This window comes from Homo sapiens, chromosome 22 (assembly GCF_000001405.40).
Source record: "Homo sapiens chromosome 22, GRCh38.p14 Primary Assembly".
Classification (NCBI taxonomy): Eukaryota; Metazoa; Chordata; class Mammalia; order Primates; family Hominidae; genus Homo; species Homo sapiens.
Window position 1 is genome coordinate 44045210 of NC_000022.11, and position 23196 is coordinate 44068405.

The window sequence follows — 23196 nt, forward strand, 5'->3', positions numbered from 1 at the left end:
CACCACTGCACTCCAGCCTGGGTGACAAAGAGAGAGTCTCTGTCTAAATAAATAAATAAATACATACATACATAAAATATGCTAGTCACAGTTTCCTAAATGGATTTTATGACTCATTGAGTCAAAATGATAGTTTTAAAATGTTGCTAAGAGAGATGTAAGGAGGAAAATGTGTTGGTGAGTGTTGAGGAGCCCAACTTCTTTTGAGAAATCATTGTTGGATCTGGTGTCTCATGTGTTACCCTGGGGTTTCAACTCCTGTTTGCTCATTCAGTTATTCATTGATCACCCTGTCTTCCAGGCATGCAGTCATTCATTCAAGGTGATTATTGAGCTCCCCTTGAGAGCAGGTATGGGGCTGGGGGTTGGAGATCCAGTGAGTGGTCCTGCTTGAGAGACTGGCCCTGCCCACATGGCACTAGTGGGCTGGGACTCTCCCATCACTCTTGTCTCCATCTTGTTGTGCACTGTTGATGCTCCATTGAATGATCTTGGCATCTTTGCTGAAAATCAGTTGATCATCAATGTATGGATTTATTTCTGAGCTTTCAATTCTATTATGTTGATCAACAGGTCTGTCTTTATGTTAGTACTACACTGTCTCTATCACTGTAGCTTTGCAGTACGTTTTGAAATTGGCAAATATGACACTTCCCACTTTGTTCTTCAACCTTGTGTTGGCTATTTGGGATCCCTCGAGATTCCGTATGAGTTTTAGGGCGTGATTTTCTATTTCTGCAACGAGCCACCATTGGAATTTTGGGAGGAATTGTACTGAATTTGAGAATTGCTTTGGGTAGTATCTTTAACAACACGAAGTCTGCCAGTCCATGAACATAGGATGTCTTTCCACTTCCTTAAGTCTTCTTTAATTTCCCTTCGCAATGTTTTGTGGTTTTCAGGGTACGAGTCTCTTGCCTCTCCAGGCAGATTTATCCCTGGGTGGCTTATGCTTTCGGATGCTGTTGTCAGTGGGATTGTTGTCCTTGCCAGTGGTCGCTGAGCCCAGCTGCAGCCTTGTCTTGCACTGCAGGGTGTCTGTGTCACCTACTTGCCTAGTTCTGGCCACTTTTCTTGCAGGAAGTCAGAAGTGTACTGATCTGGAGTAGGACCCTTAGCACAACAGAGCTGCTCCTTGGTGCTAGGAGATGCGTCCTGAGGCTGGCCATCCATGTCAGAGGACCTGGCGCCTCACCCTCATCATGGGATATCACTGACCACCAGTGGGGGATGCATCTCTGCTGGGCTTGGCCTGCAAGGTAGGAGCTGACTGCAGGAGTGGGAAAGAGCCCATGGCCCCTGAGGGGGCCTACAGTTGGCTCTCCTGTGGTTACTTGGCATGTTTGATAGACGCCTGGGTCTGGCACAGAGAACACTGCCCGCTGACAATCATTGAGCCTCGGCAGGCTGGCCCCGATGACATGTTATCTCCCCACACAGTCCCTGGACACACTTGATTAAAGGTGCTTATTACTTTCATAGTGTTGGCTGGAGTGATGTGATAACTCCACAAAAGGTTCTGGCAGAATCCCAGACCTTGGGGTGTTCCCACCAGTGTCTCTGTGTTCAAAGTTCAGCACAGTGTGGGGTGGCAGGAGATGGGAACTTGGAGACTGAGGCCAGAGTCTGCTGACTTGAGCCTCTGCTGAGGTCCTTATCAGTGCCGGGAGAGCAGCAGCCTAATCTCAAGATGGTTTAGAGGATTTAGCGGGGGCGTGCATGCAGAGTTGAGAACTGGCTCCTGGGTCGGTGTGCGGGGGGTGGGGATGGCCCGGGGGCCGTAGCTACAGTTTGTCTTCCTTCCCCCACCGGCAGAGGTGAAGAGAGGTGTTTTGTCCTGGAGCCACCAGGCCTATCCATGGAGGAGCAGAGCTTCACATGGAGCCTGTGCCCCGTCTTAGTCTATTTCGTGTTGCTATAAAGGAACACTAAGGCTGGCTAATGCATAAAGAAAAGAGGTTTACTTGGCTCCTGTTTCTGCAGGCTGTACGTGGCACTGGCATCTGGTTCTGGGGAGGCCTCAGGGGCTTCTCCTCATAGTGGAAGGTGAAGAGGGAGCAAGAAAGGGAGAGGAAGGAGGTGCCATGCTCTTTTCTAAGAAAACAGAAACACAGCTGCATTATTTTAAGCAAAACACATATTGGCTTAGGTCGCTGTATTCATCTCCCAGGGCTGTGGCACCAAGGCACCAGACACTGGGTGGCTCTTTGGGAGGCCAAGGCAGGCAGATCACTTGAGGTCAGGAGTTGGAGGCCAGGCTGGTCAACATGGCGAAACCCCATCTCTACTGAAAATACCAAAATTAGCCGGGCATGGTGGCATGAACCTGTAATCCCAGCTATTTGGGAGGCTGAGGCAGGAGAATCACTTGAACCCAGGAGGCGGAGTTTGCAGTGAGCTGAAATTGTACTATTGCACTCCAGCTTGGGCAACTGAGCCAGACTCCATCTAAAAAAAATAAAAAATAAAAAACCCAGCAGAAGTGGATTCTCTCACAGTTATGGAAGCCACAAGCTTCTAGGGGTTAGAATTCCAACATATCTTTTTTTGGGGAAAGAGGGGCATAATTCCCCATAGAAGAGCCTGTAATCTCAGGGAGCCTTGACCCAGGTATTTGACGTTGGTGTAATCTACTTGTGTATGTGTATTGGTGGACAAAGGGGATGGCCTCACATCCCTTCAGCATCTTGGGGGTGGGCGGTGCCTCCCCTCCGGCTCCCCTGAGTCAGCCCCGGGGAAGACCAATTGTGGGGCTGGATGGTGTGGGAACCCCCAGCTCCGTCCTGTCTCCAGCCATCAGTGAGGTGTGCTTGGCCATTCCCCACAGGACCAGTGGGCGGGATGGGGCAGCTTTGCAGTTGGAGAGGATGGGGGTTCAGGCAGGCAGAACAGATGCGCGGACACAGAAGAGCTGTGCAGAATGTGGAGTTGAGCTTCCTGGAAGGCCCATAGGAGAGGCGAGACTGAAATCTTCTTGATACTTTTTCACTGGGGCCTGAAAGCCTGGTGCAGAATGAAACTGAAAGCACTTGTCTCGTTGAGCAAATCATTCAACTTTGTTATTTCTGTAATTGAAATAATTCCTGGCATTAATTATGTGGAGAGCACTCATGACCATGTGGACATATCTTTTGGGGGCACATGAACTGAGGGTAATAATTTCGCTCGAATTTTTTTTTTGAGATGGAGTCCTGCTGTGTCGCCCAGGCTGGAGTGCAGTGGCGTGATCTCGGCTCACTGCAACCTCCACCTCCTGGGTTCCAGCAATTTTCCTGCTCTAGCTTCCCCAGTAGCTGGGATTACAGGTGCCCACCACCATGCCCGGATAATTTTTATATTTTTTAATTTTATTTTTATTTATTTATTTTTTGAGACGGAGTCTTGCTCTGTCACTCAGGCTGGAGTGCAGTGGCACAATCTCAGCTCACTGTAACCTCCGCCTCCAGGCTTCAAGCGATTCTCCTGCCTCAGCCTCCCAAGTAGCTGGGATGACAGGAGTCCGCCACCATGCCTGGCTAATCTTTGTATTTTTAGTAGAGACAGGGTTTCACCATGTTGGTCAGGCTGGTCTCAAACTCCTGACCTCATGATCCGCCTGCCTCGGCCTCTCAAAGTGCTGGGATTACAGGCATGAGCCACTGTGCCTGGCCTAATTTTTGTACTTTAGGTGGGATTTCATCATGTTGGCCAGGCTAGTCTCGAGCTACTGATCTCAGGTGATCTGTCCACTTTGGCCTCCTAAAATGCTGGGATTACAGGTGTGAACCACTGCGCCTGGCCTATTTCACTCCATTTTGCCGAGGAGGGAACAGAAGTGTGGAGTCCTCCCAGCCACATGGCCTCGGATCCGGGCTGCAGGTCCAGGCTTTCCGGCTCCAGGGCTGGTGCCCTCTGTCCTGTGCCACTTCCCCTGCAAAATGAGATGAAAATGAGTCTCATTTTACGATGAGGAAACTGAGGCCCTGAGAGAGGGTGAGAAACCAGGTCTCTGGCTGAATGCACCTCTCACTGAAGACATCTCCGGGTGGAAATGTTCTGAGAGCTGCTGTGTGTGCTGGTGTCAGAATGAACAATACCCATAGTGCTTGGCGTAGACAATCAGCAAAGCTAGGGACCCGTTTTCTCCTCCCAGCCCCCTTTCTCACTTCAGGCCCTAGACAAGAATCGGAGGTCCGTTTCTCAAGTTTAGCTCCTGTCTGATTAAATTTGAGGTTCGTTTCTCAAGTTTAGCTCTTGTCTGATTAAATTTGGATTTGCTCCACTCTTTTTCACGGGCATAAAAATATCTGCGGAGTGAAAATGTGTGCAGAGGATGCACTGCGTGCAGGCTGCGGCTCGAGGTCAATCAGATTCCTCCAGCGATAAAAGGCCTGCTGAGGAAGCGGCCCCACTCCCAGCACAGCCCCATTGATTGGCTTTTATTTTCCTCTGTTGCTGGAGTGATCCAATTTGAAGCCCTGTTTCTGAGCATGTTGCAAGGAACCCTAGGGGCTGCCATAGCCCTGGAGATACTGGCTGGAAATCAAATTCAAATTGGTGCTTTCTTCCTATTAAAGCAGGAGACCTCTGCCCGGGAACGGGCCATTTGGGGGCTCAGCCATCTGGCACATGGAGTGAGTAGGTTTTATTGCCAAAGCCGTCCCGGCCTTGGCCTCAGCCTCTGTGTGGCTCTGGTGGGGAGTGTGTCTCGATGTTGTACTGTGAATAAGCCCCATGCCTACTTGAGTTTGGGGTTTCTGTTTTACCTACACTTCCATATTGTGGGCATGTGGCTGCGGAAATGTGCCTGCACCTGGACTCGCTGTCACTCACTGGCTTCTCGTGGTACAGCCTAGGGAGGGTTGCCCCAGCCGTATTTAGTTCTTCCTGCCTCAGATGAACGGGCCTCCTCTCCCAGCTCCTAATCAGGAGGGCAGAGTCTCGTTGGCGGCTCTCCTGTCCTGCTGCCACTGCCTTTACACTTCTTCAGATATGCGGCCGTCTTAAGGTGTAAATGCCTTCCTCTGTTTCCCAGTGGTTATCTAAAGCAAGGATTGGCAAACAGAATCCACACCATAGATTTGAGGTATGTTTGTTGTCCTCTTTCCTTCTTAAACTGTTAGTAAACAAGACATTCCTACAGGTGACCCCTTTCGGCCTTTTTTTTTTTTTAAGACTGAGTTTCGCTCTTGTTGCCCAGGCTGGAGTGCAATGGCGCCATCTCAGCTCACTGCAACCTCCGCCTCCCGGGTTCAAGTGATTCTCCTGCCTCAGCTTCCCAAGTAGCTGGGATTACAGGTGCCTGCCACCATGCTAATTTTGTATTTTTAGTAGAGATGGGGTTTCTCCATGTTGGTCAGGCTGGTCTCGAACTCCTGACCCCAGGTGATCCTCCCACCTCAGCCTCCTAAAGTGCTGGGACTACAGGTGTGAGCCACTGCGCCTGGCCAGTCCTGCACTCTTCAAGTTTCTATGTGTTGCAGACTGGTGGGGTAGCAATATCAGTTAGAGAGACAGGACTGGGGTCACTTGTCCCCTGTTAGCTCAGTGACCTTGAGCTCAGCTTAGACACATTGTCTCTGAACACTGTGCTGATGGCAACACCTCTCTCACCTGTCTTGCAGTCTTATTTGAGGAATTAAATGCAATAACCTGGGAGAAAGTGCAGGTATGAAGTCAGGGCACACAGCCCGTCACCAGGAGCTTGAAGGAGGAGAAGAGTGGGTGGGGATGTGAGCACAGAAGCTGAGGCGGGGGCTGAGCCGGGTGTGTATTTCTGCCTGTGCCACAGGGACACCCCTTTCAGGCACTGGGCGCCTAGCTCCTGTTGTCTCATCTCCTAAGAGAGTCTCGGGAGGCCTGAGACTCCCTCACTGCTGCGGGCTTCAAGAGCAGCATCTGTGCTGAGTAACAGCCATGGGGGCAGAAGCAGAGATCTCCCGTGACAGAGTAGTTAGGCAGCCGTAAAAATCCTACCACCAGCTCGTGGAAAAGGTCTCATTTGACAGGTGCCATGCCGTCAAAGACTTGTGCTCTGCAGCTGCAAATTCCCAACTGAAAAATATCAACAATTCTTACGAAGAGAGAAGGGGAGCCCTGCAAAGCTGTTGTGTCACCCCGTCTGTTTGTAGGCGCTGGGGGGATTGATGATGAGGTGGGGACTGTTCGGCTGGCCACACTGCCATTGTAGATAGCCTGTGACTCTGTGGCTGGCGCCTGGCTGGCCTCAGTGAAGCCCTTCAGTCCCAGCTCTGACCATGTCTCTGTGGAGAGACAAGCAGGTGATAGTGTTGGGTGGGCAAGGCTGTGCTGGTGGCCTGCTTAGCAACAGCAGGAAAAGGAAGGAGATAACCACCCCAACCTTTCTTGCTGGAAGGAGCCCTTCCTGTTGTCGGCGCTGTGTGTAACCAATGAGGCGAATGCCGGGAAGCGCTTGGTTTGTGTCAATGAGGGGAGAGGATTGTGCAGAAGTGCAGGAAGGGACCATGGGAGGAAATTGAGTGAAGGTCTCTGTTAGGGGTTTGTGTTCCCCTAAAAGGTATGTCCAGGTCCTAGTCTCCAGCCCTTGGGACTGTCACCTTATTTGGAAATAGGGTCTTTGCAGATGTGCTTAAGACGAGGCCTGTCTGAAGTAGGGTGGGCCCCTAATTCAATGTGACTGGGGCCTTTATGGGGAGAGGAGGCAGGACACAGACAGACACGGGACACAGAGGCTGGACAGAGATTGGAGAGATGCTGCCACAAGCCAAGATGCACCGAGGACTGATGGCCACCACCAGAAACTGGGAAGAGGCCAGGACGGATCCTCGCCTGGAGCCCTCAGTGAGAGCACGGCTCTGCCGACACCTTGATCTCAGACTTCTGGCCTCCAGAACTGGGAGAGAATCGACGTCTGTTGTTTTAAGCTGCCAGTTTGAGGTACTTTGTTAAGGTGGCCACAGGATGCGAATACAGTCACCATCTGGCCTTTGATCTTCTAATTGCCTCGGCGGTTCTCCTGCCAGTAAGGGTTGTGAGTGAAACTTGAAGGTCACAGTTGGAAATCAAGTTAAAAGAATTAAGCTGGAAGTGCAACATGAGAGTCCGTCACCCTGAGAGGCGGTGTGAATGCCAAACACAGGCAGGCAGGGCTGGACCTGCATAAATTGTGGTTCGACAGCACCGGGAGAAAGAAGGCCCGGGCCTGCTCTCCTCACCTGATTCTGGGAATGCCGAACCTACCTGTGTTCCTGATATCACCCCAGTGCTAACTTCCCACCCCTTGAAAATGTCAAAACATTGTGTTATGAATGTTCTTCATTGAGCAACTGCGATCTCTTTCTGTAAAGATCCAGAGAATATTTCAGCCTCTGTGAGCCATCCTGCCTCTGTAGGAATGAATCAACTCTGCCTTGGAAGCATGAAAGCCCCTATAGACAGTTCATAAGCATAGCCGTGGCTGCGTCCCCCTGAAGCTACAAAAGTAGGTGGGGGGCTGGGTGTGGTGGCTCATGCCTGTAATCCCAGCACTTTGGGAGGCTGAGGCAGGCGGATTGCTTGAGCCCAGGAGTTCAAGACCAGCCTGAGCAACATAGCAAGACCCTGTCTCTACAACAAATACAAAAATTAGTTGGGTGTGTTGGTGCTCACCTGTAGTCTCAGCTACTTGGGAGGCTGAGGTGGGAAGATCCCTTGAGCTCAGGAGGTTGAGGCCACAGTGAACTGTGATTGTGCCACTGCACCCCAGCCTGGGAGACAGAGCAAAGCCCTATCTCAAAAAACAAAACAAAACAAAACAAAACACCCAAAAAGACAGGTGGTGGGCCAGATTTGCTCACTGGCTGCAGTTTGCCAATCTATGGTTTAAACCAACAATTTAAATAACACACACACATCTTTGTATGATGTTACACATCTTTTTTTTTTTTTTTTTTGAGATGGAGTCTTGCTCTGTCTCCCAGGCTGGAGTGCATTAGTGTGATCTCGGCTCACTGCAACCTCTGCCTCCTGGGTTCAAGCAATTCCCCTTCCTCAGCCTCCCGAGTAGCTGGGATTAGAGGCATACACCACCTCGCCCAGCTAATTTTTGTATTTTTAGTAGAGACAGGGTTTCACCATGTTGGCCAGGATGGTCTCGAACTCCTGCCCTCATGATCCGCCCTCCTTGGCTTCCCAAAGTGCTGGGATTACAGGCATGAGCCACCGCGCCCAGCCTGATGTTACATTTTCTAGAAGTTCTCAGTGATGGGCATTTAAAGGATTCGGCTGCTGCTCCCTGTGGCTTTCACAGCGCTGCCCTGAATGGGTGTTAGGGCACCGTACAGGTAGCGGGGATGCCTGGGAAAGCCCAGACTCACAGCAACACAACAACAGTTAACAGACTCCAGTGACCAAATGTGTGGGTTTTTCCTGCACCAACTGGCGGATACCAGCTGGATGTCCCCTAGTTCAATTCAATTCAGTTCTGACTCCACCTACCTGGAGATGGCATCAGATCCCACAGGGTGAGGGCTCAGTCTCCCAAGACTCTGAACAGTGGCTGTAAGTCAGGGTTCCCACAGCCCCATCTTTGGGTTCAATTAATTTGCTAGGGTGACTCACAGAACTCGGGGAAACATTTACTTATATTTCCTGGTTTATTATAAAGGATATTACAAAGGATACAGATGAGGAGATACATAGGGTGAGGTGTAGGGAAAGGGGTGCAGAGCTTCCATGCCCTCTCTGGGCGTGCCACTTTGCCAAAACCAAGCATCCAGTCTCTGGAAGCTCCCTGAATCCTGCCTTCCTGGGCCTTTTATGGAGCCTCATTGGATATGCACGATTGACAGCCATGTAGAAATAGGATTGGACAGCAAGGGTGTGATCTAACACTAACAGATGGACTGGGGAGGCCCTGCAAGACCTATCTGTGCAGCCTTCCTTCCTCCAAGGTGTGGGGGCCCCTCTCTGGAGTGAGGGTCTCATTACTTACAATCTGATGAGAGTCCTGCCTTGGGCAGGTGAAAGGAGGGCAGAAGGTTAGAGAGATTCTGTTTTCTGAGGCTAAAGTGCCCCAACATCTTTTATTATTATTATTATTTTTGAGACAGGGCTGGAGTACAGTGATGCAATCTTGGCTCACTGCAACCTCACCTCTCGGGCTCAAGTGATCCTCCCACCTCAGCCTCCCTAGTAGCAGGCACTACAGCCGCGCACTACAACGCTTGGCTAACTTTTAAATTCTTTTGTAAACACAAGGTCTTGCTATGTTGCCCAGGCTGGTCTCGAACTCCTGGGCTCAAGCAATCCTCCCGCCTTGGCCTCCCAAAGTGCTCAGATTACAGCATGAGCTCCTCAGCTAGAAGAGTTAAACTCATAGAGAGAGGAAGTGGAATGGCAGTTGCCAGGGGCAGGGGTTGGGGGCTGGGCAGGGAGGGGACAGGGAGTTAGTGTTTCTGCCTTGCAAGAAGAAAAGAGTTTGGCGGATAACAGCGATGGTGGCACAGCAGTGAATGTCCTTAGTGCCACTGAACCGTACACTTAAAAATGGTTAAAGTAGCCGGGTGCGGTGGCTCACACCTGTAATCCCAGCACTTTGGGAAGTCGAGGTGGGCAGGTCACCTGAGGTCAGGAGTCTTGAGACCAGCCTGGCCAACATGGTGAAACTCCCTCTCTACTAAAACTACAAAAATTAGCCGGGTGTGGTGGTGGGCGCCTGTAATCCCAGCTGCTCGGGAGGCTGAGGCAGGAGAATCACTTGAACCCAGGAGGCAGAGGTTGCCGTGAGCCGAGATTGCGCCATTGCACTCCAGCCTGGGCGACAAGAGTGAAACTCCATCTCAAAAAAAAAAAAAAAAAAAAAAGGTTAAAGTGAGAAATTTTATGTATTTTATGTTAAATGTACCTTACTACAATTGAAAGAATGAAAAAAAAATACTGGGAAATACATTACACATACAAAAGAGTGTACATATGTATAGTTTACTGACTAATATTAAGGAAGTACCCACGTTCCTGCTATCCAGCTTAAGAAATAACATTACCTGTTCCCCGAGCCATATGCCCCGTACCTCCTGTGCGCCTCCCTCCCCACCAGAGGTGACCAGTGCCGCCTTGAACGTTGCATTTAGCATGTTGTATTAGTTAGAGTTCTCTGGAGAAACAGAACCAATGGGAGATATGTAGCTCTCTCTGTCTCTTTTTTTTTTTGAGACAGAGTCTCACTCTGTCGCCAGGCTGGAATGGTGTGATCTCGGCTCAGTGCAACCTCTGACTCCCTGGTTCAAGCAGTTCTCCTGCCTCAGCCTCCCCAGTAGCTGAGATTACAGGCACTGGCCACCACACCCGGCTAATTTTTGTATTTTTAGTAGACACGGGGTTTCACCATGTTGGCCAGGATGATCTCGATCTCCTGACCTCGTGATCCGCCCGCCTCGGCCTCCCAAAGTGCTGGGATTACAGGCGTGAGCCACCGCGCCCAGCCTGTCTCTCTGTCTGTCTCTATCCATCTCTCTCTCTCTCTCTCTCTCTATATATATATATATTTGAAGAGATTGATTATAAGTTATTGGCTCATGTGGTTACGAGACTGAGAAATCCCAGGATCTTCAAGCTGGAGACCCAGGAGGGCCAATGGCGTCAGCCCAAGTGCGGGAGGAGACCCACGTCCCAGCTGAGTGAATCCCCTTACCCTGCCTTTCGGTCTATTCAGGTGTCAAATGGATTGGCCGAGGCCTATCCGCACTGGGGAGGGCCATCTGTTGTACCCAGTCTACCGATTCGAATGCTAACCTCATCTAGAAACACCTTCACAGGCACGCCCAGAATAATGGTTAGCCAAGCACCAGGCCGCTCCCCACCCAGTCCAGGCAGCTAGTCAGCAGGCCCTGCCCCACTTGCTTGTCTTTCCTTGCGTTTTGCACACGCATGCATCTCTGTCCCTCACTTTCTTTAGTTTTGCCCGACTTTGACCCCAATATGACGGGAGCCCCACCGTGCGTGCTGTCCTATGACTCGAGTTTACGCAGTAGCCTAGCTTTGGGGCACAGCCCCATTTACTTGGGGCACCGCTGCCTCTGCTGTGTGGCCGTGTGGGATCCCACACCAGGAGCACCGTCCCTTTGTCACCTGGGAGGGGTGATTCTGTGCCTGAGTTGCATGTGGATTTCCTCCTGCTGAGTTTTAATTAAGAGGCAGGGAGCAGGTGGGTGAAGGGCACACACACGGATGCAGCGTTGCCCGGGTTCGAATTCTGCCTGCGCCATTTCCTGCCTGCTGAACCAGATCGGACAAATTACTCTACCTCTCTGTGCCACAGATTTTTTGTTGTTGTTGTTGTTTTGTTTTCATTTTGTCTCGTTTTGTTTTTGTTTTTGAGACAGGTTCTCCCTCTGTCACCCAGGCTGGTGTACAGTGGTGCAATCACGGCTCACTATAGCCTCGACCCTGTGGGCTTAAGCAATCCTCCCACCTCAGCCTCCTGAGTAGCTGGGACGACAGGCGTGCACAGCCACACCTGGCTAATTTTTTAATTATTTGTTGAGATGGGGTTTCACTATGTTGCCCAGGGTGGCCTCGAACCCCTGGGCTCAAGTGATCCTCCTGCCTCAGCTTCCCAAAGTGCTGGGATTAAGTGTGAGCCACCTCATCTGGCCTTTGTGCCCCAGTTTTCTCAATCAGGTAATGATGATAGCTCTCAGGTGGTGAGGGTGACTGTATAAAATGTCTGGAAATGGCACCTGCTCTGTGCCCAGGGGTTAGAGGCTTGGGACCGAGCTGGGGGCTGAGCTGGGGGTGGAGCTGGGGGCTGAGCTGGGGGTGGAGCTGGGGGCTGAGCTGGGGGTGGAGCTGGGGGCTGAGCTGGGGGTGGAGCTGGGGGCTGAGCTGGGGGCGTTTTTGTTCCAAGGCTTTCTTGCTGATAAGTTTCTCTTTCTCTCTCTCTCTTTTTTTTTTGTCCTGCGTGTCTCAACCTGACAAAAATGCTCAGTTTAGAAGCGTGTCGTTCCATTTGTGGGAAAATTAAACACATTTAAGAGTAAATTAAATTAGGGGACTTGTGATCATTAGCTAAGTAAATTATTTTTTAAAAATGTGATGTACCAAGCATAGCACATGTGGCACGCTCAATAAATATTTGTTAGAATGAATGATAATTTTATGAGCCAGTCGAGTCATATATAATGGGATTATTTGGTTCTAGAACTAATGAAGTGACTGTAGAGCAATAAAGCTTCTAAAAAGAATCTCCGTGCTCGCAAAAAATCCAAAAGTGGGGGAAGAGGCTCATGCTGGATTTCACCCAAGAGCGAGGCCCGAGGAGAGCTGGGACGCTGTGTCCTGAGAGCTGTCCAAGGGGGGCCCTTGTGACTTGGCAGGGGTGGTTTTGGAGCCTGAGTTTATCCGCACTCTGGGTGGACTGGGTCTCGGGGGAGGCCTGCCTTAGGTCAGCTCAGGAGACCAGTGGATATAGCAGGAGGCCCACTTGCAGTTCACGGTTTGTCTTGCCAGATGTGCAGGGGGCCCGGTGTCTCAGCACTTGGCACCTGTGGGACTGAGAGAGGAGTCAGTCTAGCACCAGACACCCGCTTGGTGGGGGAGGGGAGTGGAAGAGGAGGGAGAGGAGAGAGAGGGGGCTGGAGCCCCAGTCCCACAGCTTAGGTCCTGGGAAGCCCTGTGGGTTCATGCTTGCCTTGAGGGGAGGTTGGACGGCTCAAGCAGGGACCAGGAGCCTCCCAGTGTGGCATGAGCTTTGCTGGAAGCCTGGGCTCTTTGAGAGGGGTGGGGCTGAGAGCCGCTAGACCTGGCTTCATCCTCCTGCCTGCTTTCCTGTCTGGGGTGTACCCTGGGAAGGGACATAACTTCCCTGAACCTCGGTTGCCTCCCCTGTCCAGTGGAGGAAAGGAAGGCACCTGCCTAACTGGGCTCTTGAAAATAATAAATTGAGATAATACAAAATCTGCATTAATTTCCTAGGCCTGACATAAAAGAGTACCCCACACTGGCTGGCTTACAGAGCAGAAGTTTATTCTCTCCCAGCTCTGAAGACCAGAAGTCCAAGATCAAGGTGTCAGCAGGGCCTTGCTCCATCTAAAGTCTCCAGGGAGGGATCCTTCCTGACTCTCTTGGCTTCTGGGGACGGTGGGCAGTCCTGGCATATCTTGATTTGTGGCCATGTCACTCCAGTCAGCCTCCATTGTCACAGGTGTCCCCCTTCATGCCCCTCTGTGTCTTCCTATGGTCTTCTCTCTGCATGTCAGCATCCAAATTTCTCTCTCCCATGTGGACACCAGCTGGGCCCACCGCAGTCCAGTATGACCTCATCCGAACTTGATTACATCTGCAAAGACCCTGTTTCCAAATAAGGCACATTCTCCAGTTGTCCAATTCCAGGTGGACGTGGATTTTTTTTTTTTTTTTTTTTTTTGAGATGGAGTCTCACTCTGTAGCCCAGGCTGGAGTGCAATGGCACGATCTTGGCTCCCTGCAACCTCCTCCTCCCGAGTTCAAGCGACTCTCCTGCCTCAGCCTCCTGAGTAGCTGGGATTACAGGCACCTGCCACCACACCTGGCTAATTTTTGTATTTTTAGTAAAAATGGGGTTTCACTCTGTTGCGCAGGGTGGTCTTGAACCCCTGAGCTCAGGCAATCCACCTGCCTCAGCCTCCCAAAGTGCTGGGATTACAGGCATGAGCCTCTGCGCCCATCGGACGTGGATTTTGGATGAGACACCATTCAACCCACAGTACCTGGTGCTCAGTTAGTGACTAAAACCCACTAGTTATGGTCACTCAGTCACCCTTCTTGTTATTACTTTCATAGATGAGGGTGTGATGGGGGGGGGAAACAGAAGCAGAGTTGATTGTATCTTCTTAGTTCTGCACACCCTGTGGCTTTTTTTTTTTTTTTTTTTTTTCTGAGAGGGAGTCTTGCTGTGTTGCCCAGGCTGGAGTGCAGTGGCACGATCTCAGGTCACTACAACCTCTGCTTCTCACATTTAAGCGATTCTTCTGCCTCAGCCTCCTGAATAGCGGGCATTACAGACATCCGCCACCACACCCAGCTAATTTTTGTATGTTTAGTAGAGACGGGGTTTCACAATGTTGGCCAGGCTGGTCACGAACTCCTGGCATCAAGTGATCCACCCACCTCAGCCTCCCAAAGTGCTGGGATTACAGACATGAGCCTCTGTGCCCAGCCCCGTGGCTAGTTATTAGACTGTTCTAGGTCTTGATGGGAAAGGGGAGGAGGACTTGTTCTTCTCTTTGGATTAATAAAACACCGTGAGGCTTGTGTTTGCACAGTGCCCACAGCTTGCACACTGACAAGCCCTTTTAGGTTGACTTCTGCTGAGTCATTTCATCCTGTTCCATTTGTCAGCCATAAGGTAAGGAGCAGTTTTTCTGATGTACTCCTTTTGCATAAATGCTACTCTCCATCAGCCTCGAGAAGTAGAAGGCACCGGTATGGTATCCCAAGCTCATTCACAGGGGAGAAGAGATGCCTGTTGCCACAAAATGTGAATGTTGGGTGTACATTCAGGTGTCACGTACGTGGTGTTGATTGTCTCAGCTTAATAAAGAAAGATGCCGTACACATTTTCCTTTAAAAAGTCTCACTTGGCTTGTTTGACAGGCACAGAAGATGTGTTATTAAACACTTGCAAAGCCTGCTGTCATTTGGTTTTAAACAGCACTCGTCGTCTTTGGCGGGGCGTGTTTGCTCAGCATCATGGAAGGGGGATGTGAGGTACCCAGGTGGCAGTTTCTCTACCACGATGCTTTCTCTGCTTGCTATCGGGAGAAATGTTCTTTCCTATGTTGTGGGAAGGCGGAAAGGGCACTCTGAAATGTAAGGTGGCCTTTTGTATTAGAATTTCATGGCTGAGACCAGGCGTGGGGGCTCATGTCTGTCATCCTAGCACTTTGGAAGGCCAAGGCAGGTGGATCACCTGAGGTCAGGAGTTTGAGACCAGCCTGGCCAACATGGTAAAATGCCATCTCTACTAAAAATACAAAAAATTAGCTGGGTGTGGTGGCAGCCACCTGTAATCCCAGCTACTTGGGAGGCTGAGGCAGGAGAATCACTTGAACCCAGGAGGTGGAGGTTGCAGTGAGCTGAGATTCTGCCACTGCACTCCAGCCTGGGCAACAGAGAGAGACTCTTTCTAAAAAAAAGAAAAGAAAAGAATTTCATGGTTGATTGTCACAGGACCATCTTTAGTCCCAAGATCTGAGGCAAGGGAATCGTTTTCAATAGGAAACTTTTAAATGTTTGAGCAGCAGAAAGGGAGATTGAGCCAGAAGAACTTGCTGGTGGAAAGATGGTGGAAGCTGGGAGCTTTGAGGTTCTAAAAATCCTGGTGTGTCAGGTCAGGTAGTGGGGCAACCGGAGCTTAGGGTGAGTTATACCTGATGGGACTTAACTGGGTAAATGTCATCTAGTAACCCAACTACATTCGGCATTAATATCTGGACAAAAGGTGGAATACACCCGGGTTCTTTGGGCACAGGCGAAGGAGAGGTCTCATAGTTTGATGTTGCTCAAGAAGGGAAAACAAGCAGGATGGGAAGAGGTCTAATCAGCCGGCTGGAGTGGGGTGCTGGGTTTAGTTCATTCCTTCTTAAACTCAGCCAGTTCTCATTATTCATGGTGGTTTTGATCTATAAAGTTGCCACAAACCCCAAGTTAGCCAATACTGAGCCATCACTCCTAGGGCAGTACAGCGCTCGGTTCCTGCGAGCCTCTGGTCACAACATTTTCAGCAACAGATCCATACATAACTTTTTCTTATATATGTTTCTTTTTAAAGATACGTTATTTAAAATGTATTGTTGATTGATTAACATTGAGCTCACGGCCAACAGCAGTATAAGTGCTGCCTGAATGAAGCTTCTCTGACCTGTGCGTTCTCTGCAAGGCATACCTCAGCCTTCTTGCACTTGGGAACACTAGGAGTACCCCTCGCCACGCGTGGGGACCCATTTTAAACAGCAAAGTTGGCTGGGCACGGTGACTCATGCCTGTAATCCCAGCACTTTGGGAGGCCGAGGCAGGCAGATCACCTGAGGTCAGGAGTTCGAGACCAGCCTAGCTAACATGGGGAAGCCCAGTCTCTACTAAAAGTACAAAAAAATTAGCTGGGCATGGTGGTGTGCTTCTGTAATCCCACCTATTCAGGAGGCTGAGGCTGGAGAATTGCTTGAACCCAGGAGGCAGAGGTTGCAGTGAGCCGAAGTCACGTCACTGTACTCCAGCCTGGGCATCAGAGCAAGACTTCATCTCAAAAACAAAACAAAACAAAACAAAACAAAACAAACCAAAACAGTGAAGTCACCAACAAATAGCAGAAAAATGTGAAAAACATGGCATTAAATAGACCATGAAATGGACACTTGTTTATGATGTGAGACCTCAGACAAGAAGGCAGAGCGCCCCGTGTTTGACCTCAGGTGGGGACACATCCGGCAACTCAGATTCTTTTTTTTTTGAGTGGAGTCTCACTGCGTCACCCAGGCTGGAGTGCAGTGGTGCAATCTCGGCTCACTGCAACCTCTGCCTCCTGGGTTCAAGCAATTCTCCAGCCTCAGCCTCCCGAGTAGCTGAGACTATAGGTGCGCACTACCACACCCAGCTAATTTTTGTATCTTTAGTAGAGACGGGGTTTCACCATATTGGTCAGGCTGGTCTCGAACTCCTGACCTCAGGCGATCCACCCGCTTTGGCCTCCCGAAGTGCTGGGATTACAGGTGTGAGCCACCACACCCAGTCAGATTCTTTGCTTCTGTGTGCAGGTCTGTGAATGAATGTAGGCCAAGAGTATTGATTCTGAGCTTACAAATTTTAGCCAGTAGACACATTTACACATACAGAATCCATGAATCAAGGCGATTGACTGTACTTTGACAATTATTTGTTTAGCACTGTAGGAGGAACCTGCAAACTGTTCCTTCCCTCTGCTCACATACTGCCCAGGGTAAGACTTCTGACACCAGAGGTGCAGGGATGCTTCCTGCCGCACCTGGCAGTTCTCCAGCAGACACCAGCTGGGTGTCCTGCAGTTCAGTTCAATTCTGACACCATCGACCTGGAGAGAGCCTCAGACCCCACAGGTGAGGGCTCAGCCCCACGAGACTGCACCCCAAATCAGGGTCCCCACGACTGCTTCCTCGGTTTTGATTAATTTGCTGGGACTCAGAACTTGGAAATGGGCCAGGCACGGTGGCTCAAGCCTGTAACCCCAGCACTTTGGGAGGCCAAGGCAGGTGGATTGCTTGAGGTCAGGAGTTCGAGACCAACCGGGCCAACATAGTGAAACCCCATCTCTACTAAAAATACAAAAATTGGTTGGGCATGGTGGTGGGCACTGTAATCCCAGCTACTCGGGAGACTGAGGCAGGAGAATTGCTTGAACCTGGGAGGTGGTGATTGCAGTGAGCTGAGATCGCACCACTGCACTCCAGCCTGAGCAACAAGAGCAAAACCCTGTCTGGAAAAAAAAAAAAAAGAACTCAGGGAAACACTGCATTTGTGCTCCCTGGTCTATTATAAAGGAGATGATAAAGGGTGCAGGTGAGCAGAACAGGAGGAGGCACACAGGGTGAGGCCTGGGAGGGCCCCCAGCACAGGAGCTTCTGTTGCCCTGGAGTTGGGGTGTGCCACCCTCCTGGCACCTGGATGTGTTTACCCACCCGGAAGCTCTCTGCACCCTGTAGTTCAGGGATTTTTACGGAGGCTTCATCATGTAGGCATGTCTGGTTATTAGTTCAATCTCCAGCCCCTCTCCCCTTTCTGGAGGGTGGGGTTGGGGGGTGTGGAGCTGAAAGCTCCAGGCTTCTAATTGTGTCTGGGTCTTTCTGGTGCTCAGCCCCCACCCAGGAGCCACCAAGAGTCACCTCATTAGAATAAAACATCCTTTTATCTCCCTGGAAATTCCAAGGGATTAGGAACTTTGTGTCAGGAACCAGGGTCAAAGACTAAATATTAGAACAAAAGATTGTCCTGGCACCTGGAAATTACAAGGTTCTTAGGATCTGTGTGCCAGGGACTGGTGGCAGAGACCAATATGAATATTTCTTTTCTTTTCTTTTTTTTTTTTTGAGATGGAGTCTCGGTCTGTCACCCAGGCTGGAGTGCAGTGGTGTGATCTCAGCTTACTGCAACCTCCGCCTCCCGGGTTCAAGTGATTCTCCTGCCTCAGCCTCCTGAGTAGCTGGGACTACAGGTGTGCACCATCATGCTGGGCTAATTTTTGTATTTTTATTAGAGACGGGGTTTCACTATGTTGGCCAGGCTGGTCTCAAACTCCTGACCTCAGGTGATCCACCTGTCTTGGCCTCCCAAAGTACTGGGATTACAGGCGTGAGCCACCGCGCCTGGCCCAATATGAATATTTCTTATTATTTTACAAGCACTTGCGGTGTGTCCTGTGGTCTCCGTCCTCAGCGTCGTGGTTTAGAGGGTGCCTGACAGGCAGGGTGTGGGGTTAGTGGGGTTGGGGAGTGATTTCCGGGGCACAGTGATCCCCAGAGTATGTGTGGTTGTCCAGTTCACTCACTCCTCGTGGCCTGCTCGGTGCTGGGGGTCCACACTCACAGAGGGCATGGTCTGTGCCCCTTGGGATCAGGCAGCTGCTCCTGGTACAGATGAGTTGGGAGATGACTTCCTCCAGGGCATGTGAGAAGCTCTCAATGACCAGGCCAGCTCGGATTCCCAGTTCTGGCCGAGCCGATGTGCTCTCTGTTGCCACATTCCGTGTCACTTCCCAGGCCTCCCCGGCTTCCCATTCTCGGGGCCAGGTGTTCCGTGGATGGGGTGCGGTGCGGCCTTTGATACCAGAGGCCTGGGATCGCTTTCCTCCTCGGTTTCTGTGTGGTCAGTGGCGCCTTCACCTGTCTCATGCCCTGCCATGCTGCCATGCAAGGGCAGAGGGCTGGTGTTGGGGTGGTGCTGGGGCCTGGGGAGTGGAATATCCTGCTCTGTTAAGATGCTGGGGATCGCATGTGTGATGCTGGCCACGTCAGCCAGTCTTCCTTCCTGCCGAGACCACCAGCCCTCGGTGCAGCCAGCCGTATCACCTGGTTATAGTCACGCCGAAACCCAGCTGTTTGGAAGCGTGGCCGTGGGGCCTTGGATCCCTTTTCCTTTCCACGTGTTTTGTGGAGACGAATAACACAGGCATGCGCCGTGCCCAGGTGGAGGCAATGTTAGGAAAGCAGGAAGGAGCTCAGAGCAGGAAATGTGTGTGGACTCGCGTTTGTTGAAGGGCCTGGCCGAGTTCCCCAGAGGCTGGGGTCAGTGTTCAAGTTCTGATGCTTCACGTCCTTGGAGGCCAAAGGACGTGACCTTGAAGAAGGGGCAGTTCTCACCTGTGGGCCTAGGAGAGGTCGTTGGCCTTAAGACATTACTCCAGGTAATTATATGTGGTTCCTACCTATAATCCCAGCACTTTGGGAGGCAGAGGCTGGAGGATCGCTTGAGCCCAGGATTTGGAGACCACCCTGGGCAACAAAGTGAGACTCCTGTCTCTACAAACAAAAACAAAAACAAAAACAAACAGTTGGCTGGATATGATGGCATGCACCTGTAGTCTCAGCTACTCAGGAGGCTGAGGTGGGAGGATCACTTGAGCCCGGGAGGTGGAGGCCACAGCAAGCTGTGATGGCACTAATGCACTTCAGCCTGGGTGACAGAGTGAGACCCTGTCTAACAGCAACAACAGCAGCAGAACATTAATCCGGATAGTTCTAGGATGAGGGTTCTCAGAGCTAGATGGGCCTTTGCAAGTTCTTTCCACTGATCCCCAGGTTTGGTTGATTGTATGAAACCAAGAGGAAATGTACAGGGTTTTTGTGAAGAAAGGAAAGTGTCATTTCTTTGGGTTTTACTTTGAATGGCATTGGATGAGGTCCTCAGAGCTTATGTGGGGCCAGCCCAGCCTGCCCCATGTGCCCCACTGAGACCCTGGAAACTTGGCTTTCTCCCACTGCTCCCCCAGTGCTCACTGACTAGTTTTGGGGTTTTGTGGGGACCCTTTGTCTATCTGCTTCGTCTTCCCCAGATGAATCAGGGGACGTGGTGGTACCATAGTGGTGCTGAGGGCAGCTTCTGGGTGGGGGTTCTCAGAAGGAGAAGTCTGTCCAGGAAGATTATATTTTATTACCTTCTCCCTCATCTTATTTATTTTCTGTTTTTTTAGAGGCTGGGTCTCTATGTTGCCCAAGCTGGTCTCGAACTCCTGGGCTCAAGCGATCCTCCTGCCTCGGCCTCCCAAAGTGCTGGGATGCAGGTGTGAGCCACTACGCCCAGCCTCCCACCTCTTTCTTATTTCTTTATTGTTTATTTCAACAGGTTTTTGGGGAACAGGTGTGTTTGGTGACATGAATAAGCTCTTTAGTGGTGATTTGTGAGATTTTGGTGCACCCATCACCCGAGCAGTGTACACTGCACCCAATATGTAGTCTTTTTATCCCTCACCTACCTCCCACCCTTTCCCCAAGTCCCCAAAGTCCATTGTATCATTCTTATGCCTTTACATCCTCATAGCTTAGCTCCTGCTTCTGAGTGAGAACATACGATGTTTGGTTTTCTATTCCTGAGTTACTTCACTTAGAATAATGGTCTCCAGTTCCATTTCCATCCAGGTTACTGCGAATATCATTATTTTGTTCCTTTTTATGGCTGATTAGTATTCCATGGTGTGTGTGTGTGTGCATGTGTGTGTGTGTGTGTGTGTATACACTGAAATTTCTTTATCCACTCATTGATTGATGGGCATTTGATTGGTTCCATATATTTGCAATTGTGAATTGTGGTGCTATAAACGTGTGTGAAGTATGTTTTTTGTCTGATGACTTCTTTTCCCTTGGGTAGATACCCAGTAGTCTCCTACTTCTTTTTAAAGGAAGCCTTGCTCTTTCTTAAAAGCTGCTAAAAAGGAATGAGAGTGGCGCTACAGCAAACATCTATTGAGCGCCTACTGTGTACCAGGTGGGTGGCTATGGTGGAATCTACCACTTCTTAAAAGTCACCATCCAAGTTACCGTTTTTCTGAAATACTTTGTCTTTCAACTGAGTGCTTTGTTTTTAGTGATGGCCAGTGAAGGGCCCAATTCAAACAGAAGCAGAGCCGGGGGATACTGAAGGGCCTTTCTCCCTGTGAGCCCCTTAGAACTCAGGCAGAAATATTTTAGCAAAAAGTCGAATCTGTACTTCTCTGGCTTTTAATGGGTTATATTGAAAAGGATATGACCTGCCTCTAAGGTTGTAACTTACGTTTGGCTCAGTCTTAATTATCTTAACAAGGGGTGCCTCCCCACCCATCATCCCCATACCTTGTATTTATGCATGTATTGACTTTTCTCCCACTTTGATAGCTTGAAGGCAGGGCTGCAGTGTTTCTCACCTTGGCACCCCAGGCTTGAGTGATGCCTGGCACACAGTAGGTGCACGGCACACATCTGAGTTGAGATCCTGATACGCACCCTGTATAAGACCTTCAACAGCCTGTCGACCACTCACTGCCTCCGTTTCCTCATCTGTTAGATAGGGATGATCATAAGGGTTCTTTCTTGCTTGCCTTATGGGGCCTTGATGAGAATCAAATGAAATGATGACATCAGTCCCTTAATTATTTCTCCTCCTCCTCCTCCTCCTCCTCCTCCTCCTCCTCCTCCTCTTCCTCCTCCATCTCCTCCTCTCTTCTTCTTCCTTTTTTTTCTTCTTTCTTCTTTCTTTTTCTTCTTCTTAGGCAGGGTCTCACTCTGTTGCCCAGGCTAGAGTGCAGTGGGATGGTCATAGGCTCAAGTGATCCTCCTGCCTCAGCCTCCTGAATAACTGGAACTACAGGTATGTGCCATTGTATCTGGCTAAGTTTTTGTAGAGACAGGGTCTCACTATGTTGCTTAGGCTGGTCTCCAACTCCTGGGCTCGAGCGGTCCTCCTGCCTTGGCCTCCCAATGTGCTGGGAGTACAGGTGTGAACCACTGTGCCAGGCCCCTTTAATTTATTCTGAAAATGGCGTGTCAGGAGCTGGGTCTTGGCTGCCTTGCTTGCATTGTGAAATCCCCTTGCCTGGCAGGTAGGAGGCAGTCGATGCATACAGGGTGAGTGAATGAAATGTTAGTTAGTTGCATTACATTGAAGTGGTCTAAACCTGACTCTAAGATGTGACTACTAGGCTGCTGATCCTTTTATGATTTTTCAAGTGCGTAGTTATTTTCCTTTTAAAAGCTAATCACATTTCCTTTCCTGACTGATCCTCTGTTATTTCTGCCTCCTCCCCCAAGGGGCTGACCACCAGCCCCAGGCATCTCCTTGGCCAGCTCAGTGGATACACACACGTCAGGAAGACCCTCCCTTGCCCCAGCCTTCCTTCGTGGGTGGCACTGGACACTGGGCAGATGGAAAGGCCCTCTCCATGGAGCACTGGGCTGGCGAGGGCCTTCCTGTCTGTGCCCTCATGATGTCCTCACTTGGCTGTCGAGGCATCTCCTGGGCCATGAAGTGCTGTTTGCTGTCCTGGCCTTGGATTCCTGCATCAAGTCTCCCAGCAGGAAAACTGTTAAACCAAAACCAGTGTTGGGAACTGCATCAGAGCTGGGGACCACATCAGTGCTGGGGACCTGGATCAGCATTGGGGACCTGGATTAGCCCTGGGGACCTGCATTAGTGCTGGGGACTCGCATCGGCATTGGGTGTCTTTTTGTTGCTTCCTCAAGTCCTAGTTTTGACTCTGGATGAAGCTTGGTTTGTGCCGTGGGAGTGGAGTGTTGGGGGACAGGGGTGACCGGCGGGTGAGCCCTCACTGTTGATCCTGGCCTCGAATGGGAGAGGGGCACTAGTGCCCCTGGGAGTGGGCCAGGCATGTCCCAGTCCACTGCCTGCCCCAGAGCCCCGCCTGGAGCACCTGCTGGGTCGGGACATGGGCCTCCCGTGGGCCTCACCGCTTCCTGCTTCAGCAGAACTGGGATTGTCAGTTAATCGAGCAACACCTCCAGGAAGCCAGCCTCAGGAAAGAGCTTCCACAGGGAGTTGGGGGACTGGTAATTGGAATAAATAAAAGCTAATCGTGCTTCCTGGATGCCAGGAACCACTGAAATTTGTGGATTCCCACAGCAGCACATGAGGCTGGTCATTGTTAATAACCCCTTTTTACCGACGAGGAACCCAGACCAGACAGAGAGCCCGCCTGTGTCACCTGGTAGGGAGGGGCTGGGCCTGGTGTTATAAACCAGGAGAGGGTTCAGGCCGAGGAAAGGG

At 50.6% G+C, this 23196-nt stretch overlaps 1 protein-coding gene across 5 annotated transcripts in view, besides 7 other annotated features; it reads left to right on the forward strand.

Moving 5' to 3' along the window:
* The window catches only part of PARVB (parvin beta), a 173729-nt gene that overhangs the window by 45999 nt on the left and 104534 nt on the right, over positions 1–23196 (forward strand). The window lies entirely within an intron of this gene.
* Positions 871–1420: an enhancer, noted in NCBI's record as "H3K4me1 hESC enhancer chr22:44441960-44442509 (GRCh37/hg19 assembly coordinates)". NCBI's record gives its function as "activates a minimal SCP1, AML or CMV promoter by ChIP-STARR-seq in primed H9 embryonic stem cells {active_cell/tissue: H9 hESC(primed)}" and the evidence as "EXISTENCE:reporter gene assay evidence [ECO:0000049][PMID:30033119]".
* Positions 3335–4283: an enhancer, noted in NCBI's record as "H3K4me1 hESC enhancer chr22:44444424-44445372 (GRCh37/hg19 assembly coordinates)". NCBI's record gives its function as "activates a minimal SCP1, AML or CMV promoter by ChIP-STARR-seq in naive H9 embryonic stem cells {active_cell/tissue: H9 hESC(naive)}" and the evidence as "EXISTENCE:reporter gene assay evidence [ECO:0000049][PMID:30033119]".
* Positions 6421–7301: an enhancer, noted in NCBI's record as "NANOG-H3K4me1 hESC enhancer chr22:44447510-44448390 (GRCh37/hg19 assembly coordinates)". NCBI's record gives its function as "activates a minimal SCP1, AML or CMV promoter by ChIP-STARR-seq in naive H9 embryonic stem cells {active_cell/tissue: H9 hESC(naive)}" and the evidence as "EXISTENCE:reporter gene assay evidence [ECO:0000049][PMID:30033119]".
* Positions 10329–10829: an enhancer, noted in NCBI's record as "H3K4me1 hESC enhancer chr22:44451418-44451918 (GRCh37/hg19 assembly coordinates)". NCBI's record gives its function as "activates a minimal SCP1, AML or CMV promoter by ChIP-STARR-seq in naive H9 embryonic stem cells {active_cell/tissue: H9 hESC(naive)}" and the evidence as "EXISTENCE:reporter gene assay evidence [ECO:0000049][PMID:30033119]".
* Positions 18716–19215: an enhancer, noted in NCBI's record as "H3K4me1 hESC enhancer chr22:44459805-44460304 (GRCh37/hg19 assembly coordinates)". NCBI's record gives its function as "activates a minimal SCP1, AML or CMV promoter by ChIP-STARR-seq in naive H9 embryonic stem cells {active_cell/tissue: H9 hESC(naive)}" and the evidence as "EXISTENCE:reporter gene assay evidence [ECO:0000049][PMID:30033119]".
* Positions 22050–22615: an enhancer, noted in NCBI's record as "H3K27ac-H3K4me1 hESC enhancer chr22:44463139-44463704 (GRCh37/hg19 assembly coordinates)". NCBI's record gives its function as "activates a minimal SCP1, AML or CMV promoter by ChIP-STARR-seq in naive and primed H9 embryonic stem cells {active_cell/tissue: H9 hESC(naive and primed)}" and the evidence as "EXISTENCE:reporter gene assay evidence [ECO:0000049][PMID:30033119]".
* Positions 22616–23179: an enhancer, noted in NCBI's record as "H3K27ac-H3K4me1 hESC enhancer chr22:44463705-44464268 (GRCh37/hg19 assembly coordinates)". NCBI's record gives its function as "activates a minimal SCP1, AML or CMV promoter by ChIP-STARR-seq in naive H9 embryonic stem cells {active_cell/tissue: H9 hESC(naive)}" and the evidence as "EXISTENCE:reporter gene assay evidence [ECO:0000049][PMID:30033119]".